At 42.2% G+C, this 26,895-nt stretch overlaps 1 protein-coding gene across 1 annotated transcript, besides 8 other annotated features; it reads right to left on the bottom strand.

Moving 5' to 3' along the window:
• Positions 11,461-25,747, bottom strand: PTGER2 (prostaglandin E receptor 2). Its single transcript, NM_000956.4, has 2 exons — positions 24,668-25,747; positions 11,461-12,838 (listed from the first exon to the last, which is right to left on the bottom strand). Exons 1-2 carry the CDS (start codon positions 25,508-25,510, stop codon positions 12,605-12,607), a joined length of 1,077 nt encoding a protein of 358 aa, NP_000947.2. The 5' UTR covers positions 25,511-25,747; the 3' UTR covers positions 11,461-12,604.
• Positions 14,527-14,676: an enhancer, noted in NCBI's record as "active region_8390". NCBI's record gives its function as "activates an Ori minimal core promoter by ATAC-STARR-seq in GM12878 lymphoblastoid cells {active_cell/tissue: GM12878}" and the evidence as "EXISTENCE:reporter gene assay evidence [ECO:0000049][PMID:35858748]".
• Positions 14,817-14,866: an enhancer, noted in NCBI's record as "active region_8389". NCBI's record gives its function as "activates an Ori minimal core promoter by ATAC-STARR-seq in GM12878 lymphoblastoid cells {active_cell/tissue: GM12878}" and the evidence as "EXISTENCE:reporter gene assay evidence [ECO:0000049][PMID:35858748]".
• Positions 14,887-14,936: an enhancer, noted in NCBI's record as "active region_8388". NCBI's record gives its function as "activates an Ori minimal core promoter by ATAC-STARR-seq in GM12878 lymphoblastoid cells {active_cell/tissue: GM12878}" and the evidence as "EXISTENCE:reporter gene assay evidence [ECO:0000049][PMID:35858748]".
• Positions 24,853-24,992: an enhancer, noted in NCBI's record as "active region_8387". NCBI's record gives its function as "activates an Ori minimal core promoter by ATAC-STARR-seq in GM12878 lymphoblastoid cells {active_cell/tissue: GM12878}" and the evidence as "EXISTENCE:reporter gene assay evidence [ECO:0000049][PMID:35858748]".
• Positions 25,013-25,162: an enhancer, noted in NCBI's record as "active region_8386". NCBI's record gives its function as "activates an Ori minimal core promoter by ATAC-STARR-seq in GM12878 lymphoblastoid cells {active_cell/tissue: GM12878}" and the evidence as "EXISTENCE:reporter gene assay evidence [ECO:0000049][PMID:35858748]".
• Positions 25,397-25,956: an enhancer, noted in NCBI's record as "H3K4me1 hESC enhancer chr14:52780821-52781380 (GRCh37/hg19 assembly coordinates)". NCBI's record gives its function as "activates a minimal SCP1, AML or CMV promoter by ChIP-STARR-seq in primed H9 embryonic stem cells {active_cell/tissue: H9 hESC(primed)}" and the evidence as "EXISTENCE:reporter gene assay evidence [ECO:0000049][PMID:30033119]".
• Positions 25,683-25,792: a silencer, noted in NCBI's record as "silent region_5743". NCBI's record gives its function as "represses an Ori minimal core promoter by ATAC-STARR-seq in GM12878 lymphoblastoid cells {active_cell/tissue: GM12878}" and the evidence as "EXISTENCE:reporter gene assay evidence [ECO:0000049][PMID:35858748]".
• Positions 25,957-26,517: an enhancer, noted in NCBI's record as "H3K4me1 hESC enhancer chr14:52780260-52780820 (GRCh37/hg19 assembly coordinates)". NCBI's record gives its function as "activates a minimal SCP1, AML or CMV promoter by ChIP-STARR-seq in primed H9 embryonic stem cells {active_cell/tissue: H9 hESC(primed)}" and the evidence as "EXISTENCE:reporter gene assay evidence [ECO:0000049][PMID:30033119]".

Raw genomic sequence — 26,895 nt, 5'->3', positions numbered from 1 at the left:
GAGGGGAAGGGGAAGGAGAGTAATGAAAATATTTTATCGAGTGATTTATATTTTTTATATTTATATAGACCAGGGAAGACTTATCTGTGGAGGTGACATTGAGCAGAGACCTGAACAAAATGAGAGAGCCAGCAGTGAGACTACCTGGGGGAAATACATACATGAATGCCTCCAAATGTCTTTGGATGGATGGAGACAGGTAGGGCAGTCACTCCAGTCACTACTTCTTTGGGGATTTCTTGCTGTGAACACAACATAGGTTCAATCAGCTGCAACACCTCTGGCTTCAGTGGGCTCCTCAGGCTCTCCAGTCAACTTCAGACTTGTTGGTAACATCTGTCACAGTCATCAGGCAAACACAAATATGGTGATGATGTTGGGAGGGGTGGTGGGTGGGTGAGGGTGTTGGTATTGTTGTTGCTATTTGTAGTGCTGTTGTTGGTGGTGGTAGTTTTGTTGGTGGTGTTGGTGTTGGTATTGGTGTTGGTGTTAGTGTTGTTGGTATTGGTAGTTTTTTGTTGTTAGCATTGGTAGTGTGTTGGTGGTACTGTTAATATTAGTAGTGTTGGTGAGTGTTGTTAGTATTGGTAGTGTTGTTAGTATTGGTGGTGTTGCTGTTGTGGTTAGTATTGGTAGTGTTATATTGGTAGCACTGATGGTGCTCTTGTTTGTACTGGTAGTGTTGGTGATGGTGTTAGTGTTAGTATTGTTGTTGTTAGTATTGGTTAGGTTGCTATTGTTAGTACTGGTAGTGTTGTTATATTGGTAGTAAGTCTAGTGTTGTCGTTGGTGCTGTTGTTAGTACTGGTAGTGTTGTTATATTGGTTGTGTTGTTGGTGCTGTTGTTAATATTGGTAGTGTTGTTGGTGTTAGTGGTACTGTTGTTAGTATTGGTAGCGTTCTTATATTGGTTGTGTTGTTGTTGGTGCTGTTGTTAGTATTTGTAGTGTTGTTGGTGTTAGTGGTACTGTTGTTAGTATTGGTAGTGCTGTTATATTGGTTGTGTTGTTGGTGGTGCTGTTGTTAGTATTGGTAGTGTTGTTGGTGGGTGGTGGTATGTGTGTGTGTAGGTCCCACATGATGAGAAAGGTTTGGGTAGCAGAGGATTGGAAATCAGTACACTATAAGTATGGGATCCTAAAAACATGATCAGATTCTCATTTTAAAATATCAATAATGATAATAATAACCGGCATTTTTAAAGATCATACCATGTACCAGACATTGTTTTAAGTATTTCATATGCCTCATGTGATTTTTTTGGTATGATTTTATCATTTGACTTTTTGCCGAAATCCTATGAGGTGGGCAGCTACTACCCTCATGATGAAGGTGAAAAAACAGGCTTAGAAAGTCTAAGTAACTTATTCAAGGTTACACAACAGTGGCAGAGTTAGGATTTGAAATGAGGTCTGTCCAACTTCAAAGTTCAAATTTTATACCAAGCACTGTGCTATTCTGTTTCCAAGGACAATACCCCTACACCAGGGTGGAGGATGGGCTGGGGAGGAGATTAGTACTAAGTAGATGAGGCAGTACTTGTGACTAATTTCCTGACAATCTGCTCCCTCCCCTGGGTATCCTGGTGCACAGTCTGCAGAGTAAACACAATCCTTCCATGCTTTTGAGCATAGATTTATGATTGACAGGAGAAGTGAGCAAACAGATTTCCTTATTGCTCTTATGGAAATGCATGGAAAGTTAAATGGAAATTTCATTATGCGAAAGGACTTATGGAAATTCATCTTTAAGAATAATAAATCTCCATTTGTGAGATTCAAAACCTTGTTGCATCTGTGCAGGTTGAAGTGAGTAACAAGAAGGTTGAAGTGCAGCTATTCTGTAGTTAAGAATGAACTCATTATTCTGAGGAAGCTGCAAAAGCCCACAAATTCAAATAATCACAATGTGGGCTAGACCTCTAGTGGGTAGACTACTGTTTTCTTTTGCACAGAATCATTTTTTCATATAATAGCTAAAATTATCATTAACTTAATGCTGAAATAACTGCATTATTTTTCCAAAATAAGTCATGTAAATTTAAATAACAGTTCACAGTTGTCAATGTATTTGGTTTATTTCTCTCTAATGGGAACAGAGTGATAAATATATAAATTCCTTTCATGTCATATAAATGCTTAGCCTGACTTGTTGGTAAACAAGTTGGTAAGACAACCACTCTTATAAAGAGCAGCTTTGGCTGGGCACAGTGGCTCATGATTGTAATCCCAGCACTTTGGGAGGCTGAGGTGGGCAGATCAAGAGGTCAAGAGATTGAGACCATCCTGGCCAACACTGTGAAACCCCGTCTCTACTAAAAATACAAAAATTAGCTGGGCGTGGTGGTGCGCACCTGTAGTCCCAGCTACTCGGGAAGCTGAGGCAAGAGAATCACTTGAACCCAGGAGGCGGAGGTTGCAGTGAGCCGAGATTGCACCACTGCACTCCAGCCTGGGCAACAGAGTGAGACTTTGTCTCTAGATAGATAGATAGATAGATAGATAGATAGATAGATAGATAGATAGATAGCAGTTTTGTGGACCACCTAATTCTCCAACCAGTAAGATAGCTATCACTGGCATTTAGTTTTGATATTCGTTTCATATATGCATCTTCATTCACAACTCAAAAACAAAATATATGAGGAAAAATTAGAGTGATAGAAATTAGATTGATTTTAGTTTACATTGTTAATGTATCTTTATGTGCAAACAGTATGGACCTTTTTTGGTTTGCTTTCTTTTGAAGGGAGTATGCCTACTGTTTTATTTTTTAATTGTTTTGAGTATCAAAACAATCATAAACTCACAGAAACATTAGGAGCACAGTACACATAACTTTTTCCCCCTGAATTATTTGAGATTAGGTTGTGGACATGGTGCATCATCATTCCTCAGTACCTCATTGTGTGTTTCCAAGGACATTTTCCTATAGAACCACAATTTAATAACCACAATCGGGTAGTTTACACTGATGCATTACTAACATCTATTCCTCAAGACCTATTAAGTGTTGCCAGTTGTCGCAATAATGCTCTTTATAGCAACAGAATCTAGTTCTGATTCCCCTGTTGTAGTTGATTGTCCTGTCCCATTAGTTTTCTTCAGTCTGGAATAGTTCAGACTGTCTTGACTTTCATGACTTTGACTCTTCTGAAGATTACAAACCAGTCATTTTGTAGAAATCCTTCAATTTGGGTTTGTCTGGTATTTCTCCATGATTAGGGTTAGGCTACTTCTTTCAGGTACTTCTTCGATAAGAAGAAATATCCCAGAAGTGACACTGTATTCTTAGTGCAGTTTGTCTTCTGGCTTAGAATTTAATTGGTTCTGTCACTGATGATAGTTTACTTTGGTCTCCCGATTACATTAGGGTCTGTCAGGATTTCTTACTGTAAAGTGATTCTTTCCCTTTGGTTATTTTATGGTCAGGTACTTTGAAACTTTGTAAGTCGCTTGTTTCTCATTAAACTTTCATTTTTAAATTTGTTTTTATCTGTGTGGAATCACTGTTTCCTATTTTTTTCAAGGGATCATAATCTATTATTATCATTATATATGTTGATGCTCAAATTGTCCCCAGTTTGGTCAGTGGGAATCCCCTTTCAAACCGGCTTCTGTGTTCTTGTGAGGTGGCTCTCTCATTCCTCAAGCACTTCCTTATAATTAAGATGTTCCAGGCTTGCTTTATACTTTCCCTGCCCCAGTTTTGAAGTCAGCCATTTCTCAGAGGAGCCCTGGTTCCTTTCAGGGGAAAATGGTATTTAGAAAACAAGACCTATGAGCTAGGTGTGCTCATTGCTATTGGATGGGGAAGAGGTTGCTAATCCCAGCTATTCTCAGTGGAGAGAGCTAGAGGATACACACACACACACACACACACACACACATTTACATATGAATTTATTTCCATATTTATCTCTATATATTGAAAAATATGAGCTAACACAATATCCCAATTCCAATCCAACACCACAGCATCCATTCCAGTTTTTTCCCCTTCATTTTTCTGTAACAGTGACTAAACTGTTTTTTGTTATTTTTAATATATTTGTTTATTTGATAAATCCTTCTGTATGTAGCCAATCTCCCATCTCCAACATCTTCCTCTCCCTACACCTCCCTCTTCCTGCTCAAGCTGTCAGTCCCCAATCTGAGTCCCCAGCTCACCCCACGTGGAGGCCATGCTCACCCTGCTTGGGTCCTGACAGCTCATGCTAGGCCATCCCACAAGTGCATGCCCATCTCACCCTGCTCAGGTTCCTAAACCCCATCACTGGGCCATCCCCTTGCAAGGATGCCCCATCCTCTCAGTCAGGCTCTGCCTCCCTAGAGCAGTTCACCCCATGTGGACAGCCTCCCCAGGCCCCTGGGCTCTGATTGTCCATGCAAGGCTGCTCCTGTGAATGGACACCCTCCTCTGCTTCAATCTGTTCAGGCCCCACAACCCAATACCAGGGCACCCACTCCCTCCCTGTTTGGGTTCCAGTGCCCCACACCATGTCACACCCCCTGTGTGAATAACCTTCTTATCTGCTTTGGACTCTGATGCCCACTGTAGGCTGCCTTTCTGTGTGAACACTCTCCCCAGTCCACTAGGGCTCCATACTCTGCACAGCAGCACCCCCATCCTCGCCCAACCTGAGCTTGAACAATCCGCTCCAGGCCCCTGCGTGGGCTCTCACACCCCCAGCTGCAGAAGCCTGCCTTAGTCTGCCCCACCCAAAGGGCTTCACATTGAGTTGTTCAGAGAGGAGGGGAAGAAAACAGGAGGAAGATGAAGTCTTTCAGAGACTGACAGAGATTGTATCCTTGACACTAGCCATTCGTTCATTCAACAAATATTTATGAACACCTACTACATATCAGACATGATCCTAGATACTGCAAATATGGTGGTGATAGGCCAGGGCCATGCCAATGGGGTTTTCCTTCCGGGGGAATAGAGTCGGAAATAGAGGGCCATTATAGATCTCCATTATGTAGGGTCAGTAGAATGATCCCTGGCTTGAAATCAGAAAACAGTTTAATTGTTCTTTTTTGTTGTTTTGTTTGTTTGTTTGTTTGAGATGGAGTCTCACTCTGTTGCCCAGGCTGGAGTACAGTGGCACGATCTCAGCTCACTGCAACCTCCACCTCCCGGGTTCAAGTGATTCTACTGCCTCAGCCTCATGAGTAGCTGGGATCACAGGCGTGTGCCACCAGGCCCAGCTAATTTTTTGTATTTTTAGTTGAGACAGGGTTTCACCATGTTAGCCAGGATGGTCTTAATCTCCTGATCTCGCAATCTGCCCACCTCAGCCTCCCAAAGTGCTGGGATTACAGGCATGAGCCACTGTGCCTGGCCAGAAAATAGTTTAATTTTTTAACTTTCCCTTAAAAGCTGTGTGATCTTGAGCTATTTGCTTAATTTTGAATACGTTTTGTCATCTGTAGAATGGGGACAGTGCCTACCTTACAGTGTTGTTTTGAAGACTAAATGAGATTTACCACATTCAAAACATGGTATGGGATCATTTTCAAAATATCTTTCGAAGAATATACTTGTTAGAGTAGGTAGCTAGGCAGACATGAGCTGGACAGGAGAGTCCCCGACCCCAGGAATGTCAGGCAGCCATTAGGTGGTAGTCAGCTGGTTGTTAAACTGTCTCTTTAAAATAATAATTGGTTGCAGCTGGTGCCAGGGAAAGGCTGTGTCTCAATAGATAGAAAACACCTGAAAGTGATGATCAGCACCTTCCCAATAAGATCTTGGGAGCTGGGTGAGCAGGCTTAAGCATGTGCACTAAGAGGCAAAATGGCAGAGTTTAACTGGTATATGACCCTCTTTTTGGAACACATGACTGATAAGGGAAAAGTGCCTCAGATGAGCATGCGCACAACTTCAGTAACCACCTTGCATGTGGCCCACCTTGCATGTGGCAGGCCACACTGTGCAAGCAGACAGCCTGCCCCAAGGGAAAAATCAAGGGAGGAGAAACAGAAACCCTGGAACTATGTCAATGTATAAAACCCCAAGTCAAGGGCCGAACAGCATGCTTGGATCTCTCAAGTCACCCATTTGGCCCTCTTCCAAGTGTGCTTGACTTCCTTTTGTTCCTGCTTTATAACTTTTTAATAAACTTTCACTCCTGCTCTAAAACTGCCTCAGTCTCTCCCTCTGCCTTATGCCCCTCAGCCGAATTCTTTCCTCCTGAGGCAAAAATCGAGTTGCTGCGACCCATATGCCCTCACTACTGTTAACACACTGAGTAAATAAAAAATAGAAAAAGGCCTTGAAATGTATAAGATATAGTTCTACGTGTATAGGACACTTGGCAAGTGTGAGATACCATAACATTAGATATCAAAACAGGCAGCAATCTCTGTCCTTGGGACTCACATTCTACTCGGGGGCGACAGACCATGAGTATTATATATAAGTCAATCTTGAGGTATGTTTAAGGTCACTCATAGATAGAGGAGGGCAAAGGGAATGGGGAGGGCAGGGGCGTGTAGTTTTAGGAAGAGGGTTCAGTAATGGCCTTACTGAGGAGGCATCTCTGGGGCAAAATGTTGAAGAAGGTGAGGAAGTGAGCCAGGGCTGCCTGGAGGAAGAGCATTTGTTGCAGGCAGAGATAACAGCCAGGGCAATGACCCTGAGATGGGAGCTTGCTGGGTGTACTCCTGGCCCAGCACGGTGGCCGGTGTGGTTGGAGTCGATGAGCAGGGGGAGAGACAGGAGGCCTGGGTAATGGAAAGTTCACCTAGATGGAAGATCTCCCTGATTAGACGTCTGCATTCCAATCCCAGTGTCACGATTCTCACTTAACCTTTCAGTGGTTAGTTTAAAAATAAAGTTATCAGGCTTTTTTCCCCATGTGATTTGTCTCTTAATCCAAAATTCCTGCTATGAAGGATTCCAGTTAGTAGCATTTTAATGTGCTCAAATAGAGAAATAAAGGAAAGTCCTTATTATTTGAAAAAGCCTTTAACACTGATAACAGGATGATTTTGTTTCCCCACTTAATATTTCTTTGCAGCCATTGTAGTTCACTATAACTTCATTGAAAACACAGAAGAGGCCGGGCGCGGTGGCTCACGCCTGTAATCTCAGCACTTTGGGAGGCCGAGGCAGGTGGATCACGAGGTCAGGAGATTGAGACCATCCTGGCTAACACGGTGAAACCCCGTCTCTACTAAAAAGCAAAAAATTAGCCGAGTGTGGCGGCGGGTGCCTGTAGTCCCAGCTACTCGGGAGGCTGAGGCAGGAGAATGGCGTGAACCCGGGAGGCAGAGCTTGCAGTGAGCTGAGATCGGGCCACTGCACTCCAGCCTGGGCGACAGAGCGAGACTGTGGCTCAAAAAACAAAACAAAACAAACAAACACAAAAAACACACACAGAAGAAATTTGTAGAAGACAGGAATCTGACTCTTCACCTTCCTTAGTTTTCCAGACTGGCATGTCATGGAAAGATGTGAACATCTGAAAGTGTTTCCTCTTGGAGTGGGTGTCCAGCTCCCTCATCACCATAATAGGTAGTCAAGAGAATAAAGTCTCTAGTTTACAATTAGGCTTGCTCTTCTTTTATCGGAACGCCTACTCACACCAGAAAAATTTATTTTTACAGGTCAGAGAGTAGTACACCACAACATGCAGCCCACAGTGTTTTGGTTATCATACCTTTCATCCTGCGGGGAACATGAGGACATTTATTTTTAAAAACATAAAAAGTTAACATTGGGTTTTCAAAACTCTAGGGCTTTTTGGCTTGTTCTCTGAACACTTCACAATGTGGACACACTGAGAAGCTCTGTAAGAGCTGAAAAAGTCTCCACTATGTCTTCAAAGGTTTGCTTGTGCTGCTGTTGAATTGTTAAACATTTTATTTATCATGATCTATCAGGCACACTCTTAGGACTGAGATGAGTATTGCCAATTAACTCTAGTAAAAATGTTGTTTGATAACTAAAAGCAGTGAGTTCCACTTCAAGAGAACTGTTCTCTGGGGTAGGGCACTGGCATCTAGTTGCACATAATCTCAGGGGCAAAATTATTAACCCAAAAGACCAGGTTCAACTGACAAGCCCAAAGCTCCCTATCCCTAGTGTACACAGCCAATCCAAAAGCAAGAGATAAGAGACAAGAGAGAAATGATGGCTGTGTGGTTTCAGGGCGGCAAGATCAGCACCATAATCATAAGGGTATCTTATGAGGATGTCCCTAGTGACCAACTCACTTCACCCCTGCACACCCAGTTTTCCTCTATGTAAACTGGAATGCTGTTGCTTCTTCCATCTGTTGGAGGTTTTAAAGACAGGACCTGGTTTCTAGATAGCTTTGTAATCCCAGGTTGCATTAATAGAAACATAATATCCAGATTAAGCCAGGAACTGATCTATCAGCATTCAGTATTGGTAAGACTGGTTTAGAATTACTGGTGTTTGGTTCTGGCCCACTGTTTTTAGATGGGCACTGATAACTTGGATAAGATCTGGAGGAGGGCACCAAAATGGTGAGGTGTCATATGCCCTGTTGTCTTTCTGTCTCTCTTGTTCCTTTTTTTTTTTTTTTTCTGAGACGGAGTCTCGCTCTGTCACCCAGGCTGGAGTGCAGTGGCGTGATCTCGGCTCACCGCAAGCTCCGCCTCCCAGGTTCACGCCATTCTCCTTCCTCAGCCTCCCGAGTAGCTGGGACTACAGGCGCCCACCACCACACCCGGCTAATTTTTTGTATTTTTAGTAGAGACGGGGTTTCACTGTGTTAGCCAGGATGGTCTCGATCTCCTGGCCTCGTGATCCACCCGCCTCGGCCTCCCAAAGTGCTGGGATTACAGGCGTGAGCCACCGCGCCCGGCCTCCTCTCTCTTTTATACTTACTCATTCCTCTACATTCTCCCATGTGTACCAATCTTCATTGCATTCTATGAAACGCAAATTTGTCCCATTTGTGTATTATCATTTTTCTTGACAGTTACTCAGAGTTAATTAATATATAGCATCACCCCTAGCACCCACCACCGCCATTGAGAATCAGAAATAAGAGCCAGATGTGTGTAAAGAGGTCAGAGGGGCCACTAAATGGGTATCTAAGATGATACTAATCCCTAACCTTATTAGGATTTATCATGTGCCGTGAAATACATGGATCACAGAATTAAACCACTAAAATTGACCTTAAATAATACATACATTTCATAAGAAATAAAAATATATCATTCAAGAGAATATACTTAATTTCTTTTTGTATAGTAACACAAAAGCTGCCAGGAAAAAAAAAGTAATTTTCTGAAATAAGTAATGCCTAATACATGGCCTTGGCCCATGTATAAATTAAAATGTAGCTTTTGTGAATTGCTAAAATAATACTTCTTTCCATAGTGTGTATTTTAGGTCATCAAAACGACTTGTAAATTTAAAAATCAATTATAGTGCTGTTAGGTGATTGAGAGGAAAGCCAGTGGAGTGAGTGTTTGATGAAGGCAGAAGAGAGGCATCAAATATTCAGGTTGTAACAGAGCAAGTAAGAGCAGGCATTGCAAGTCGACATGAATGAAATACTCATTTATAGAGAGGAATGCATCTCTCTCTATAACTGTCTCAAGTAGTGGCTCTTCCCAAGTTCCAAAAACCATTAGATTTGGCTTAAGCTAAGTGAAATAAACAAAACTCTGCCTAAGTGAGAGCTAATTGTCTCCCCTTGCCTTTCAAAGTCATCAAATTCTAAAGTGGAATGTGTTGTTATTTCTTGGTTCAGATCAGAGCTGACCTGCCATTAGCATTAGGACAATCCCTCTCTCAAAGTGCACTGATGCTGAGGAGACAGAGATGCCAAAGTGTAACTGAGTTACATGAGCGTGTAGTGATGTGAATCAGTTTTGCCCTCCCTCCTCAGGGTTCGAGACCTCTGCAAGCATCATGATTTGGAGTTGGAGTGGTTTCTAGAGTTTCGGTCTTGCTCTGGGTTGTCATGGGTCCAACCCACTTTGTGATGCAGGTCTTCTAGAGTCATCTTATACCTTCTAAACAAACTCAGATCCCGATCAGATTTTTGGAGATTCAAGGCCACAATTTAGCACCAGAATTTTTCAGTTCTTTCTTGGAAAAGATGACCAGGGCCACACTGAACCATTTAGGAACAATTCAGCTCAGAGCAGAGAGCTTGGTCCATCTCATATCGAAACACCTAAACTTAGGGCTGGCATGCTGCAGGGAATCCCGACTATGGTTTCTTTCTCCCTTTTCATTCTGACTACTAGGGGCAAAGAATAAAGTCTAGATCTTCTTTTATCACAATTCAGTCTTTAATATATCAGGCTAAGTAAATTCTGTTCTTTTATTTAACTTGATGATGAAACAGTAACTTAAACAGGTATGTCTGATGTGACAGGATTTTTAGAAAGGGAATATTTACATATCTAATTTTAGTAATTTTTTTCTAAGCTACCTTTAAATTGCCATTAATAGGAGGTAATGACTATTACAGAGTATTTTTACTTTCAACTCCTTCTACATATATATTGGTATAAATGAAATACCAGGATTTAGTCGTTCAGCACAGTACATGGAACAGGAGTACATGAGGAAACAGAGTTCTAGAAATATACCAGTGCTTAAATAAGTGGCTTAAATTCTTATACTTTGGGCTCCAGAGCAAATCATTTTGTTCCTGCTAGTGATATTATGTCCAATTTTGTGTTTTTGTTTTCAGTTCTCAGGCATTATTCTGGGATTTTAGGGGGGCAGTAAGGTGGGGTGAAAAATTGTAGTTGACATTTTCATCTGGAGAAAAACAAGTCATCTGATAAAAGTAATTAATCTTCTAGTTCAAAGCAACTTCAGAATTTTATGTTTAGGAATTACCCATGGGCCTAATTAGTCCCATTTAGAATAATTTCTTAACTTTAGAATGCCTGGTGGACAGGGAAGATTTATTTACATGTCTAGATTTTAGTTAAGTTAAATTTTGCCTGGCTTGTTTAAATTTGTAGAAAAGCAAACCACTTATTTATTCTTCTTAAGAGCTGATTTGACGTAGATTGTTTGTATCAAAATACACTGATGCCTAGATTGGTTTGAAATCATTCTAAGTGATCAGCTAGTTTGATAACTGCTTAAAGGAAATAGCTTTGGATAAACAACTCAATGAGACTTTGGAGAAAACAAGCATCTCTTTTTTTTTTTTAAGGAGTGGCTATCCAATAATATCACTATGAAAAAAATAAGATGATTCTACTATTTTAAAGATCATACTGGAAGGGTAAAAACTGGAGGAAAAAAATATCTTCTAATACCAAGTATTATAATGAATATTTTAAACTCTAATTTGCAACCTCACTTTAAAACCTGGCAACCACACTTTACGAATCTGCCAAATTAAATATAATTTTTCCACTTTGAACTCATTTAAAAGATACTATGTTTATATTAATCACAAAATGTTATTTGAGGGAGTTCATAAAATACTACTCCATTTTCAAATTTTTGTTTTATAGTTTATTTTTGTAACATTTCAGATGAGTTTACACAGTAACTATGATTAAACAGTGCAAATTCACTGAAATATTTTGATGCTGAGTTTACATTTACATGCCAAACATTTAGAAATATATTAAGATATGACTCACTGCTACATGGTTTCCCATATAAGATGAGTCAAACCATGTTCCCTAAATAAAATATAGACAGATGAATTTTGGTACAACACAGTCATCTTATAAAATCTATTTTACTCATGGCCCCAATATCAACTTTAAAAGGGTTCCAGTATATCTGAAGAATGAACCAGATTTTTCAGTTTTTAAGCCTAATATTTGGCTTCATACATGGCCACGTACATCCTCCCCCAGAAATAGGATAAATAAAGAGTATTAATGAGAATTAACTGCCTTGAGACATTTCTATTATTTCTTGTTGAGAGAACCATTCCTAAAGTCTTCTTGATCACTATTAGCATATGGACATTATAAAATAAATAACCTGACAACTTGACCTGCAGTTCCTGGAGGATGAGTAAACAAAACTGATGTTAACCCACTGAGTCCACTCTTGTAAGAGTAATACTGTAGTGATGAGAGTACTCCCACATACACAAACATCACAGTAAAAGGTGCCTATGATTTTCAACTTCATTGTTCAAATAAAGGGTTCGCTAAGTGATCACAAGACAGCAGGCTTGGTTGCTTCCACATATTGACTTCCTAGAGATTACATATGAAGTTTAATCTGGTCTGGCTGTACACTATATGTGTATAACGGTAGTAGCAAGATTAAAATAGAAAGTACAGTCACTGTTTGGGGTTTCAAACAAATTACAAAACCACATACTTTGTCATTCAACAGGAAAGCTTAAATCAATAGGCAGCTGGATCTTCAATGCAGCCGATTGTTCCTCCAAAGGCCAAGTACCATGCTCACTGAGGGTAGGTTTTGTAGCTCCTTCTGACACTTTACATGAAGTGCCTTGTCAGCACATCTGTAGCCTTGACCACAGCTTAAATGTTTGTATACTCCTTTTTATTAGGGCAGCTTCATTTTGTTTACACACTGTTTTCATTTCTCCAAGGAACAATTTCAAAATGATCTTCCAGATGCTATATAACTAAGAACTTTTAAACTACTGACCTCAAAGGTCAGCCTGTTTACTGGCATCTGACTGTGTAGAACAGGAAGTTTGTGTTGCATCTTGTGTTCTTAATGAAATCCGACAACAGAGGACTGAACGCATTAGTCTCAGAACAGGAGGCCTAAGGATGGCAAAGACCCAAGGGTCAATTATTGAATTAATTGATAAAAACCTAAGAGCTTGGAGGTCCCATTTTTCCTTTCGGGAAGAGGTTTCATTCATATATGCAAAAATCTGTAAGAAGCAAAGGGGAAAAATGATGTTAGTTTTACATCGTAGCAGTAGACAGGCTTAGACCCTATGTTATGTCTTGAGATTTAAAAGCAAAACCATGTTTTGTCTGTGGTAGTGGTGGGGAACGAAAGGTGGGGGTTGGGAATCTTACCTTTCTTCCTTATGTAAACTGTAACATAATGAATGTATTTTTTCCCCTTGAACTCAATGAAAGCATGTTTTCTGTGGAATGCAATTAACATTAACACCATGCACAATGTCTTGGTGTCATTGGGAGTGGAGAGAAATAAACTTTTCTTGTCATCTAGAATAGAATCTTTTAACAATATAAATAATAATGATAATATTAGTAGCTCCAGTGTATCAATAACCTAATATATGTGTCATGAATTGTTCTGGGTACTAACCCCGCTTTATCTCTACTCCTTATAGAAACTCTGAAACTTAGAGATTGTCTCTTTTTAACAGATAGGGAAGTGAACTTCAGGAAAACTAATAACATGTTACATTTACTTCCAAATACTAAATCTAATGATCACAATTCAGCGAGACAGGGTCTGCAATGGAACACCCTGAGTGGGAGTATGAGTTCTGGCCATTGGACTGGGTTTGAATCCTACCTCTGTATATAGTTTGAGATCAATGGCAAGATATTAATAATGAACCTTTGTGCCTCAGTTTTGACATCTTTAAAATGGGTGATAATAATAACATACCCACTTCATAGAGTTGCTGAAAGGATGATAGGAAGTGATATGTGTAAGCTACTTAGATCAGTGCTCACATCCTAAGTGCTCCACAGTGTTCATTGTTATTATATCCATTTTACAAATGCAGACACTGGGGTATAGAAAATTAGATAATTTGCTCAAGTACCCAGAGCTGGTTAGTGGCCAAATCAGGATGCAAATTCCAACTCTCCTGATGCCAGTGCAGTGCTCACTGTGTGCTACGTGCAGGCCTGTATTAGAGCAAAGGCCTCAGAACAATGTCCTGAACACTGGAAAGCTGACACATCTTTACATATGGACCAAACTGCTCTACCAGCCCTCAAACGATTTCTTAGTTATTTAGGGAGCAACATAAATGTTTGGGCAGGTTGGAAGGAATGGAATAATGCATCTTGATAAAGATCACACTTCTACAAAATTCACAGAAAAGAGGAAAACAAAGGTAGATCACACCTAGTCATTTAAAACCAGTGCTTTATAAGGCTCCAGGGTCTTTCTTACCAATGGCTTTAGACACCTAGCCCCTCTTTTCTTCACTCGCCTTCTGCAGAAGAAGGAGCAGCTTGTTTCCCTTCTCTGAGTACTTACTCTGCAGGCATCTGGCAACTGGATATACAAAGCAAATTGCAGAGAGCGCAAAGGGTAGTCATCTTCAGTTTGCTTATGTTGGGACAAGAGCAGGAAGGTTTGGCAGCCATAGGTGTTTATGCCGGAGAATCTTGGCATAGGGAATGGAGAAAAGATTTGGCAGATGAGTAAGGAAAAAGAAGAATTGATGGTGGGTTTCCCAGAGAGTAGAGGAAAGCTAGGTGAGGAGGTGCAATGGAGCAATAGCTTTCTTGTCAGTTAAACTATTTTGGATGAAAACTACACAGGCTGGTGTGTTAAAAGAGTGATTTGGAGGTAAGAAATTCAGGATAATGATGCACATAGGTCTACAGATTAAAACACATATTAGTGATTACATATGCACACACACGTGTGCACATGATGCATAACTGAGCACTCCTGTAGAAAGGGCCTGCAGCTGAGTTGATGATCTAGTTTAACCAGAGAACATATTCACACTGAATTGGCCAGCCAAGAAGTGCAGAAAAGGCATAGCCTCTGGTGTTGCAGCTTCACACATTAAGATGAGTCAGGTTTTCAGGGGAGAATAACCCACATCAGAGTTCCTGAATGTCTTTAGAGCGTGACAGAATAATGAGAAGTGAAAATTGGTTGTAGAGGATGAAGCAATTCTGTACTGTTTCCTTTCCTTTATCATCTACTATGCTGGGTAATTTTGAGAATTGCTTAAAATTTGCACTTTGGAGGTGACCAATATTTTGTAGAAGACGGCTTTTTTTTTGAGATGGAGTCTCACTCTGTCGCCCAGGATAGAGTGCAGTGGCGTGATCTCCACTCACTGCAACCTCTGCCTCCTGCGTTCAAGTGATTCTCCTGCTGCAGCCTCCTGAGTAGCTGGGATTACAGGCACCCGCCACCACGCCTGGCTAATTTTTGTATTTTTAGTAGAGATGGGGTTTCACCATGTTGGACAGGCTGGTCTTGAACTCCTGACCTCAAGTGATCTGCCTGCCTTGGCCTCCCGAAGTGCTGGGATTACAGGTGTGAGCCACTGCGCCCAGCCAGTTCCTTCTTTTATACTTGGAGAAGAGACATACTTCAGTGACCCTCGAAATTCTTGATGTAAGTTTTGTCTTCTACCTCCCCATTTTTTTCTTTTGGTTCTTGTCTTTTGCCTAGATTACTATATTTTTGATCTTATGGATACTGGGATTTTAAAAAATTGTGGTAAAATAAATATAACATAAAATTTACCATTTTGCCATTTTCAGCTATACATTAAATACATTTACATTGTGGGGCAATCATATTGTTTATATTTTCACTTTTCTGCATATTATGCTTTGACATCTTAAATTCTTCTTGGCTGGGAGAGAATGCCCCTCCGGGGCTAGCTAATTTGTAGAGATAGCAAAGAGTTAGGCTGGGAGCATGTCTTTGATATACAGACTAACCTATCCAGGGCCAGAACTCTTCTATCAAGGAAATATTTATTCCTCTGCTTTTATCATTCCAATGCCAGGTACCAGGCAACTAGGGACCACCCCTATAGCTTAGAGCCTGCTGAAATTATTCAACCTAACCAATCCTAAACTGTTTACCCTGCTCTGCCTTTCTTGTGGAAACTCCAATAAAGGCTTGGCCCAGGTCCTCCCCACCCTCCTGCCTCTCTGCCTCCTGACTGAAACCGATGCTTTTTCATGTGGCCCTGAGTGGTCCACCATGTCTGTGTTTTCCTGAACATCTCCTGTGTCTCTTCTTGTGGATGCACTTGACTGCATCCACGTAAAAGAACAAAGAACAGCAACCATCACTACCATCTCCAGAATTATTTTCATCATCCCAAATTGAAACTCTGTACCCATTAAACAATAACTGCCCATTCTCCTCTCCCTCCGGCCAGTCCTGAGTTTTTAGTTAAAGGATGTCACAAAGGATATAAGATAATTAATTAATAATATGTCAGTGATATTCGGCAATTCAGTTTCAGAGGTTGGTAGAAGTTATCCATCTTTTTGTGTGCACTACCAATGTATTTGTTATGAGAAAAATACCAAGTGCTAATCCCAATGAGTCAAGTGAATTTTAATTCCTCAGGGCAGGCTGTCTCTACAGGGCTTTGTTAAGAAGGTAAAGCCTTGTTGTGACATTTACAAAGTGGCACAGATGAGAATTAGTGCTATTTTAGCATTGTCATGTATAGAAGCAGCCTCCCATAGAAAACTTCATTTTGGCACTGACCAGGTACTATTCTTTTGCGCTACTTTTCTATCTTTAATGCAATTACAAAGTGGGTTCAGAATTTTAGAGCAAATGAGGGCTTTATTTGGCCGATCATTGAAATCACCTGAGGAGCTTTAAAAATAGGTTGGGTGCGGTGGCTCACGCCTGTAATCCTAGCACTTTGGGAGGCCGAGGCAGGCAGGTCACCTGAGGTGAGAAGTTTGAGACCAGCCTGGCCAACATGGTGAAACTACATCTCTACTAAAAAATACAAAAATTACCCAGGCGTGTTGGTGGGCACCTGTAATCCCAGCTACTTGGAAGGCTGAGGGGAAGGATTGCTTGAACCTAGGAGGCAGAGGTTGTAGTAAGCTGAGATCACACCACTGCATTTCAGCCTGGGTGACAGAGTGAGTCTCTGTCTCAAAATAAATACATACATACATACACACATACATACATACATACATGCATAAAAATATTCTGAGGCATTTCTCCCTTCCCCAGATGTTGCAGGAAGTCAGGGACCCCAAATGGAAGGACTGGTTGGAGCCGCGGCAGAGGAATATAAATTGTGAAGATTTCATGGACATTTATCCGTTCCCAAATAATACTCTTATAATTTCTTACGCCTGTCTTACTTTAATCTCTTAATCCTGTTATCTTCGTAAGCTGAGGATGTACGTCACCTCAGGACCACTATGATATTTGTGTTAACTGTACAAATTGATTGTAAAACATATGTGTTTGAACAATATGAAATCAGTGCACCTTGAAAAAGAACAGAATAACAGCGATTTTCAGGGAACAAGGGAAGAAAACCACAAGGTCTGACTGGCTGTGGGGTCGGGCAAAATAGAGCCGTATTTTTCTTCTTGCAGAGAGCCTATAAACTGACATGCATGTAGGGAAGATATTGTTAAATTCTTTTCCTAGCAAAGAATATTAATAATTAATACCCTGGAGAAGGAATGCATTCCTGGGGGGAGGTCTATAAACGGCCGCTCTGGGAGTGTCTGTCTTATGCGGTTGAGATAAGGACTGAAATACGCCCTGGTCTCCTGCAGTACCCTCAGGCTTACTAGGGTGGGGAAAAAAACCCACCCTGGTTAATTTGAGGTCAGACTGGTTCTCTGCTCTCGAACCCTGTTTTCTGTTGTTTAAGATGTTTATCAAGACAATACGTGCACCACTGAACATAGACCCTTATCAGTAATTCTGCTTTTGCCCTTTGCCTTGTGATCTTTGCTTTTGCCCTTTGCCTTGTGATCTTTGTTGGACTCTTATCAGGAGTTTCTGATTTTGCCCTTGTCCTGTTTCCTCAGAAGCATGTGATCTTTGTTCTCCTTTTTCCCCTTTGAAGCATGTGATCTTTGTGACCTACTCCCTGCTTACACCCCCTCCCCTTTTGAAATCCTTAATAAAAACGTGCTGATTTTGCAGCTCAGGTGGGCATCATGGTCCTACAGATATGTGATGTCACCCCCAGCGGCCCAGCTGTATAATTCCTCTCTTCGTACTCTTTCTCTTTCTCAGCCGGCCAACACTTATGGAAAATAGAAAGAACCTAAGTTGAAATATTGGGGGTGAGTTCCCCCGATACCCAGAGACTCCAACTTAATTAGTCTAGGCTGAGCCATGGGCATCAAGGTTTGCAAAGTGCTCCAAGTAATTTTAATATGCAGCCAGGGTGTGAGACATCCCTTTAGAACCTTATCTAAAACCTGGAATAGTTTAAAATTATTCATTTATCACACTTAAAAACAAAAGGCCCACTTAGGTCAATCAAACAAATGACTTTGAGCTTTCAGAATTCATTTCCTGACCATTAATATACAATCTGATTTTCCCTTGAAATGGAATCCCCTAGAGATAGCAGCTAACATTTATTAAACACCTACTGTGTGTTAGGCATGGTGCCAAGCAATTTATAAGGCATATTTTGTTTAATATTTACATAAACCTACGAAGTATTATTATTCCTATGTTAGAAGGAAATGAAGGTTTAGAAGATCAGTTACTTTGCATAGAATTACAGTCTGGGTAAGTAGAGAAAATGTGGAGTCAAACTGAATCCATGGGACACCAAACTTGGCTTTTAGCCACTAGACACTCTGCTGCCATCTATATAAAAAGCCTGTAATGTAAAGCTTAGCATGAAATTCACAAATGTCTGACCACATTATGGGTTTGGAGGAGATTTCTCTTCAAAGATTTCTCTTCAAAAGTTTATGGATATCATGGTTCCTGTTTATGGACTGAAAAACCATGGCTATTTCTAAGTAGCTACTTAGCTTTCTCTGGGACTTGTTTTTCCTCCACACTTTTCCACAGCTAAATTGCAAGCATAGATTGTTATATGTTTACCTGCCTTCTGAAAGACACTAAGGTGTCCTGACTATAGACTTTGCCTAATTCATTCTTTAAAAAAAAACATTTTGGGGGGAGATTATTTTTCAGGTATATGATGCTTTAAAGAAGTCCCTTTGCCTGAATCACAGGTGCTTTGTGGTAGAGGGAAACAGAAGCCTATTTTCCTGCAATAGGAAAAACTGGATCCATGTGGCTCCAGGACTAGTGTCCTTTGTCTTGTGCTTCTCAGAACTGGAAACAAAAAAAGAGCAAATGCTAAGGTTTAGACCTCTGGGCCTATTTATTCCAAGATGGTGGCTCTTAACTCTTTGACAAACTGATGGACACTATGAACCATCTACCCACAACTCATACAAACATATAAACATAAACTCATATAAACGTTTTTGCAAATGAATTCAGGCAGAAAATCCAGGCACTTTCCATGCAGCACAGGTTATGGACCCTGCTCTAGAGGAACTTTCAGCCTTTCTAAATGTGCTTATCCGATCCCTGGCCCTTTCCATCACATGTATGTCCCAGCTGCAAGGTTCTTAGGTTTAGTTTTCTGTTAGGGGCAGTTTTAGGCAGCAAAATATTCTCAGAAAAATGGAGCTTGGTACACCTTGATAATATAAACTGAGGTACAATGGACTTGAGCTCAAGATAAGGACAGGGAGTAGAGGGTCAGAAATTTCAAAACAGGACAGGAGAAGCCAACTGAGCAGACTGAGTTGCAGATGAACTGGGTCTTAAGCCTCTAGCTGGAAAGAGACCTGTTCATTGCCTTCCTGAAACACGGTCTCACCATTTCTATTCTTTTTTTAAACTTAATACTGTGATTGGTTTTTGATATGCCAAAGAAGAAATATACCATCTCCAGAAGGTGTTTCTCTTTAAGCTGAGGACCTGGTCTAAACCATCTGAGATAGCAGTGAGGACCCACTTGACCAAAGGTGTGGACATAATGCACAAATTCTCTTTTGGGAAAAGAACTAAGGTTCTTTCTGTTTACATTTTTAAAACCAGTGTAATTGTGTCTTTATTCAAATCAGCATTCATAATATCAAATGGCAAAGGAGAAAAGACGTCAAGTGAAAACACTCATATAGAGGAACTTTCTCTTAAAACATCATGTGTATTAAAACTGTCTCATCGATCCCCAAACACATGGTTAATGATGCTTAAATGATAAAGGGCCTTCCAGTTGTTTATGGACATTAACTTAAACTATCACCAGGCAAAGTTCATTGTGGTTATACGTAGAGATGTCTGGAGTTCTTTTTCATTCCTACCAGAATTGTTATATTTGGCATGTATATAATCTACCAATGTCATATCAGCTTTTCAACCCCCATTCATGTTATATTTTACATAATGAGTACCAGGAATGAAAAGGAAACTCTAGTACTGTTTACTGGAGTTTGTTTTGTATTGCCAAGATCAGATTTCCACTAATCAGATTTACCTAGAAGTTATAACCCTAAAGAATTTCTAAAGATGGAGAACTTTTTAGTATGAGTCAATGGTTTACTCTTGAAATTTTAGAACTGAATAAAAATACATAAGCACTTTATCCTCATGGCATGTGGAAAACAGTTTAAAATGGCCAGAAGCTATCCACAATTAGAAAAGTGGCGAGAAAGGGGCTTGATATGAGTTGGATATGAAGACACAAACAGTATCTGAGGCAAGAATAGAGGTCTCATATATTTCCTGTGTTCTGTTCCATTTCAGGAAGAAAGTTTCTATTTATCTCTGTAAAACGATGGCAAAGCTGATTAACATAAGGAGGAATTTATTAATTTATACAATATCCCTTTAGTGAATAAACAGTTTGGAATATGTTGTTGGTTCCATGCAGAATTTCATACTGGGCAGCCAAAATAATGTCATTTCCCAAACACCACATGGTTTTTGGTCACTTAAGAGATGTTTTATTTGTTCTGATGAAAGATTTTATGTGAGGGATAATCTGATTATTTCTTAATTTAGACCAGCATTTACATTAGCCAATCTCCTAGAATCTGAGTCTCAGCCTTTTATTTCATAGGTCTGTGGAGAAAAGAAAGGGAACCACATAGTTGGCCCTGGCTCAGCTCCCTTGAGCTGACATGAAGAAAAAGGTCTTTGCCATTTTATTTTTAAAGCTAACTAGTTGGAATTAAGAGGCAAAGTGGTCCAGATATTTATAACATTCTCACAGCTCTTTTATGAAATCTTAGATTAATCTTCTCATCTGTTACCCCTGAAATGAGTACTTTCTCTTGGATAGTGTTGTGGTTAGGTTAATTGGCTCAGTGCTTAAATTGCCTAGCTTTGAGTCCCAGTTCCACCACCCATTAGCTGTGGGACACAGGGTGAGTCATTTGCCTCGTCTGTACGATAGAAATCATCATACTATTTCCTACGGTGCTGTGAAGATAATGGGTTAATGCAAAAGTTAGCATTCAAAAGTCTGATTTTGTGGTCGATAATAATGACATATGAGGTTGAATTGGACTTCACTTGAAGGGACTGGGCCTTTAAAAAAAACTACAGTTTTACTTCCAAAATTTTGGAAGCCCTAGACTGGCATCTTTGGAGGAAGCAGTAATTCCAACCTGCCCAAACCTTGGGACAATGCCTGACATTAGTAGTTCTAGGTTTCTGAATTCCCCCATTTCCCTCCTCTGTCCACTACTGGAGTGCTGTGGAATAGACTGGTGTCCCACTGGGTACAGCTGTCCTCCTTGTTGCCAGTGGTTTGGTCCACTTTTGAGGGACAAAGAAAGCAGCTTGTTATCCTGAGGAAGGAGTGGGAAGAGATAGAGTAGATTGCTACTATTTTCTGGGATACAAGGAAGAAACTTACTTGGAATAGCTTATTAATAATTATTTTACATAACTAATATTTTGAATTGATAATATTTTAGATATATTGGGTTAAATAAAATATGTAATTCAATTAATTTTCTCTGTTTCTTTTTACTTTTTGTTATATGACTACTAGAACATTTAAAATTCCGTTTGTGGCTTGCATTTGTGGTTCACACTGTATTTCTATCAGATCATGTGCACTCCGTTAGAGAAACAGAAACATTTCTGAAGGCAACCATAAACCTTTGCTTCTAGAGCCCCCTGTTAGGACATGTGGAAATGATTCCTGCTTCAGGTGGGAGATTGGTATAGGCCACTTCTGACCACAATTTTAGTGTGGGCCAAGTAGAATAAAAGGACTTGGAGGAAAAAGCAACCTCCCCTGGAGGCACATGCCAAGGATTCTGAACAGCAGAATGTATGAACCAAACAGTAGCCATGAGCTTGAATTTTCAGATAAGCCCTTCAAGAAATAACTTAAATCAAGATAGTACAGCATTTCATAAAGCTTAAAGTGCTATGTAAGTGAAAGATACTAGCAATTATTCCCAATAATCTATTGACAAAATAAAATCCATCAGTGGTCAATATAAATTTTCTTACTAAGAGGTGACAATGCTTCCAATTTCCATTTTGTGTATAGTTCATCTGAATATGGTGTCATGGTAGCTCCAACAATGGAAGTCAGGGAGGCTGGCTTTCTGATTATGTTCACACTAGGATTTTCTCCGGCTCTTTGGGAATCTTTGCCAGAAGCAAAAGCAGTTTGCTGATAGTGTCAATGCTTAGAGGTGGTTTGGGGGAGCTAAAGCCCCTTCATAGTCTCCATCTGGCTCCCCCTAAGCCATAAACAGGAAATTGAAATAAAAACACAGCTTCAAAGCAAAGCTCCTACTCCCTCAACACCTTTTAGCCAGATTTCTGTGGCTAAGCCCCTTCTATCTGGCAACTCTGGAGCAGCCCTTGGCCTAATATTAACTGAGGGAGGGAAAACAATATCTATATCTATATCCACACACATATATTTGAATTTACAAAAACATAAGGCAACGATGGAATTCTCATGGTAAAAGGCCAATTTACATGAAAACAGGGCAACCTGTTGGAAACCACTACCTTTATTTAAAAAAAATACAGTTTATGCAATGGGTCAGTCATGATCAAAGAGGAGAACTTTTTCCTCTTGCTCGTGTAGGAAAGAGACTAAAAATCGTTTCACAAGTGTGTTATCACCCCAAACCCATTCCCAGGCTATTTAAGTAGCTGATAGTGGGGGATATTTTTATAAATATACTCACAAATGACAGATAAAACCCTAAGAACTGATTATCTTAATTCCCAACACCCTAAGACAGTCTTTCAGGAATAGTTTCTGATCCCCAAGCTGAATGCAAAGCTGTTTGGTGGAACTTGAAATGCTTTCTTTCATAGATATATGTTCTGCATCCTAGTGCTGACCTTCAAAAGCTGATTTAGCTCCTAACATAATCAAAAGCTCCTACCAGTAAAATAAATCAAAAGCATATAAGCCATGTGGGTTTCTACATCACAGCGTTTCTGTTGCATAAACTCCCCTGCTCAGAGTGGTATGGGAGATGCAGCCTCCCACAGTCCGACTTCATTTTATAAGAGGGCGTCTTTGAATATTCTATCTCATTCCCTCAAAGTGTAACCAATTCAGAACAGTTTCTGCCCTGACAGAGGATGGGGTAGAAGGGTGAGGACAGTGGGGACCAGGGAGAAGAGAACGTAGCTAAGGGAGTTAACTGGGCTGGGGAGGAGAGAATCATATTCAGACCTTTGGGACCCTGTGTCCCTTCCCATCCCTGAGGATGAGCACATGAAGATGTAAGAAGCAGTAATGGAGGCAGGAGATAGGATAAAGTTACTTCTCCTCCAGCTTTTACAGGTCAGACCTGTTAATAGTAGGCACTGCCCATCTCTTTTCTCCAAGATTGTGGCAGGTGGAAGTCACTATTAACTGCTTTGATGCTGCAGCATCAGTCTTGCTCTTCTGAAGATTAGGAAGTGGAGTTGCCACAACTCCCAATTCCTAGCCCCCGTAAGAGGCCAGCACATTCTCGGACATATTCCAGGCTCAGCTAAAACGTTACACTTGAGGAGACTTGAACTCACAGCCTCATATCATTTAGCAGTTAGTTAGCATCAAATAACTGCTAAAGTTGCCCCAAATCAAGGCAGCACGATGCCAGGACTTGGTCTCTTGTCCTTCAGTTCCCCAGGTAGCCCCACTCTTCCCTTCCTGAGAGGGACCAGCCATTCCTGCCTGTGGCTTTGTGCTCATCAAGTGCATAACTGTAAGCTGAAGGACACCTGTGTGTATTTCTGACAGTGACATTAAGAGCGTGTTTTGCAAGATATTACAAATGCTTAGCAAGATGTTCCTCCAAGTATTTCCTCTAGTTATCATTATGGTTTTATAAACTTTCATGGCCACAAAGAGTTACATTCAAATATATAAATTGGGAAACCTATAAACTAGATGTTTGTTGGACTTTTAGGACAAATAACAAATGCTCTAAACTTCTGCTTCAGGGACCCTTCTCATCTGGGACCATTTTCAATGGCAGCTGGAATGCTATGGGTTGGGTACTACATTTTGCCCTGGCAGGAACAGAAGGCAAGCATGGAGAACCAGCACCAGTGGATGAGAGGTACAGGGCAGCAAACTGCAGCTCCAGGTCGTCAGGCTGGAACAGTGACAGCCATCCTAAGGTGGAAGGGGCTGCCTCTTTCTCAATTACTAAGCCAAGATAGGCAACAGCGAGAAAGGGACACTGCCCAGGGCTAGGATGAGGAGATTGGCTAGCTTAGCTGAGGCCCAGGACTCCCTTTCGGACGGTCTGTATTATTGTATAAGAAACTCTAGCCTAGCAACGCCCATAAGCCAGGATAAGGAAGTGGGCTAAAGAGGAGGGGAAACTAGTGGGGAAGGCTACAGATCTTTACAAATTAGGACATATTTTTACAAGTTGCAAAAAGTTTGTAGGGCGGTGGAAAGGGTGGAGGCGTCAGGGGAGAGCATGAGAAGGCTGAGCAGAGCCGGGCTGTGGAAACGTAGGGAGTGACTTACCGTGAAAGGCAAGGAGCAGACGGCGAAGGTGATGGTCATGATAGCCAGGAGAATGAGGTGGTCCGTCTCCTCCGCCATGGACACCCTTTCCCCTCTCCTGCGGGCCCCGGGGCCGCCCCGGCCACTGCCCAGGGAAGGTCCGCAGCGGCTTCTCCGGCTTCGGCGGTGCATGCGGATGAGGTTGAGAATGACACTGAAGTTGCAGGCGAGCACCGAGACAATGAGAAGCAGCAGCAGGGTGGCGTACAGCTGCAGGTAAGCGGTCCGCCCGTGCCGGATGAAGCACCAGGTCCCGGGGCAGTACTGGACGTACTGCCCATAGTCCAGCAGCGGCAGCGAGCAGAAGAGCAGGGAGACTGCATAGATGACAGGCAGCACGGCCAGGCCCCCGGAGCGCGAGACGCGGCGCTGGTAGAAGTAGGGGTGCCCGATCGAGAGGTAGCGCTCCAGGGCCATGGCGAAGAGCATGAGCATCGTGGCCAGGCTGAAGAAGGTCATGGCGAAAGCGAAGTAGGTGCACGCGCGGCTCTCGGGCGCCAGTGCCACCAGGGTCTGGTTCCGCGCGTACGAAGCCAGTACCACTGGGCTGATGAGGCAGGTCCCGAGCAGGTCGGTGAACACCAGCTCGGTCACCAGCACGTGGAACAAGGAGAGGGAGCTCCTGCGGCCGGCGCTGCACCCCACGTCCCCCCGCCAGCGGCGCGCCAGCAGCGCCAGTGCTATGAGGTTCCCCAGCACCCCGGCCGAGAACATGACGGAGCTGATGGCTGGGCTTTCGCCTGGGGGAAGCCACTGTCGCGTCTCGCAGTCCTCAGACTGGGAGTCATTGGAGGCATTGCCCATGGTGGGGTGCCTGGAAAAGAGATGCGCCCTCCTCTCCCGGCCTTTACCTGGGAGGAAGAGGGTCTGAGAGCCGGAGCGTTCCGAGACTCAGAGGAAAAAGGGGAGGGACCGAAATCCAGAGCCCCCTTCCCGCACCCAGCGCGCCGACGGCGGCTTGCCCTGGGTCTCCCGCCGCGCGCCGAGTGGCGGCTCGGCTGCTGCATCCGAGCGGCGCTCGAGGCTCCCGCGCCTACCCGCGCCGGCCAAGGCCGGGAGCCAGAGCCTAGGGGAGCCGTCGTCTCCGCCCCCGCACTGTCGGGGGGCGGGCCCAAGAGTGCTGGCCAGGCCTTGCAAGTGCGAGTGTCCGCGAGCTGCAGGGGAGGCAGGACGCGTCACACTCGCGGGGGCGTTCCGAGTCCCTGGGGCGCGCCGGCGGGGAGGGAGAGAAGGAGTCTGAGCACCCGCTGGGCGCGGCACTGGGCAGAGGCGCGCGTGTTGCCGGTGTACTGAAGCTGCCCGCGACCGGCGGGAGCGGCGTTTCTCGCTTCCTCGGGGTCCGGTACTCGAAGCGCACGGCAGTCTGACCTCGGCTGGGAAGCGTTAAGCCCCAGCAGAGGGCTGGGAGGGAGTGCAGGAGCACTTGCGGGGTCTGCGCAGAATACACAGAAGATCGGGGCAACGAGCAAAGCAAAGCAACTCACCAAACAATGAAGTTAGGAGAACCCAATCCCGTGAAATGAGCGGAACAAGGGAATAACAGTGCAAAGGCAGCTTGAAGTAAGACCAGAATGTTTTGCTTTGTTTTTACTATTCCCAGGAAGATACACTAAGAGGTTGGGACAAAAATTGGGATGAAGCGTAAAGCAAGTGTGTCCATCCAAGGAACCAAACCACACAATGCGCACCACCGAGCGGCCTGTTGCACTGCCGCTTTGATTCGGTTACTAGCATTTCACCGTTTCCTATGTCAACAGCATAACGGATAACCACTTGTTTAAGCAACCATTAAAAAAAGAGGAGTGTGTCTTATACAGAATTGTGTTTGTGGATACAACATGAAAACCATTGCACATCACTGTTCTGTCCTTAAGCTGAGCCTTGTAAGAAAATGTTGATATTTTGTTTAGCCGTTTATCTTTACATGTTGTTAACCACGTAGTATCCATCCAGAAAGACTTGTTCCTGGCAAAGTGTATTGGTAAGTGGCCAGTTTCAGACTGGAGCTGACAGTAATGGTTTCCTACCACATATTGTCATAATTGCAGAGTCGTGAAAATGGGCTGATATTTAACACAAAACAAAACAAAACAAAATCCAGTTTGGCAGACAACATAGGTAATTGTGTTCTGTAAGAAGTCACATTCACTTGGGGAAGGGAGGCCAACTGGGAAGTGAAGGGTCTGATC

Source organism: Homo sapiens, chromosome 14, assembly GCF_000001405.40.
Source record: "Homo sapiens chromosome 14, GRCh38.p14 Primary Assembly".
In the NCBI taxonomy this organism is placed as follows: domain Eukaryota; kingdom Metazoa; phylum Chordata; class Mammalia; order Primates; family Hominidae; genus Homo; species Homo sapiens.
This window is presented reverse-complemented; position numbering and strand designations above follow the sequence as displayed.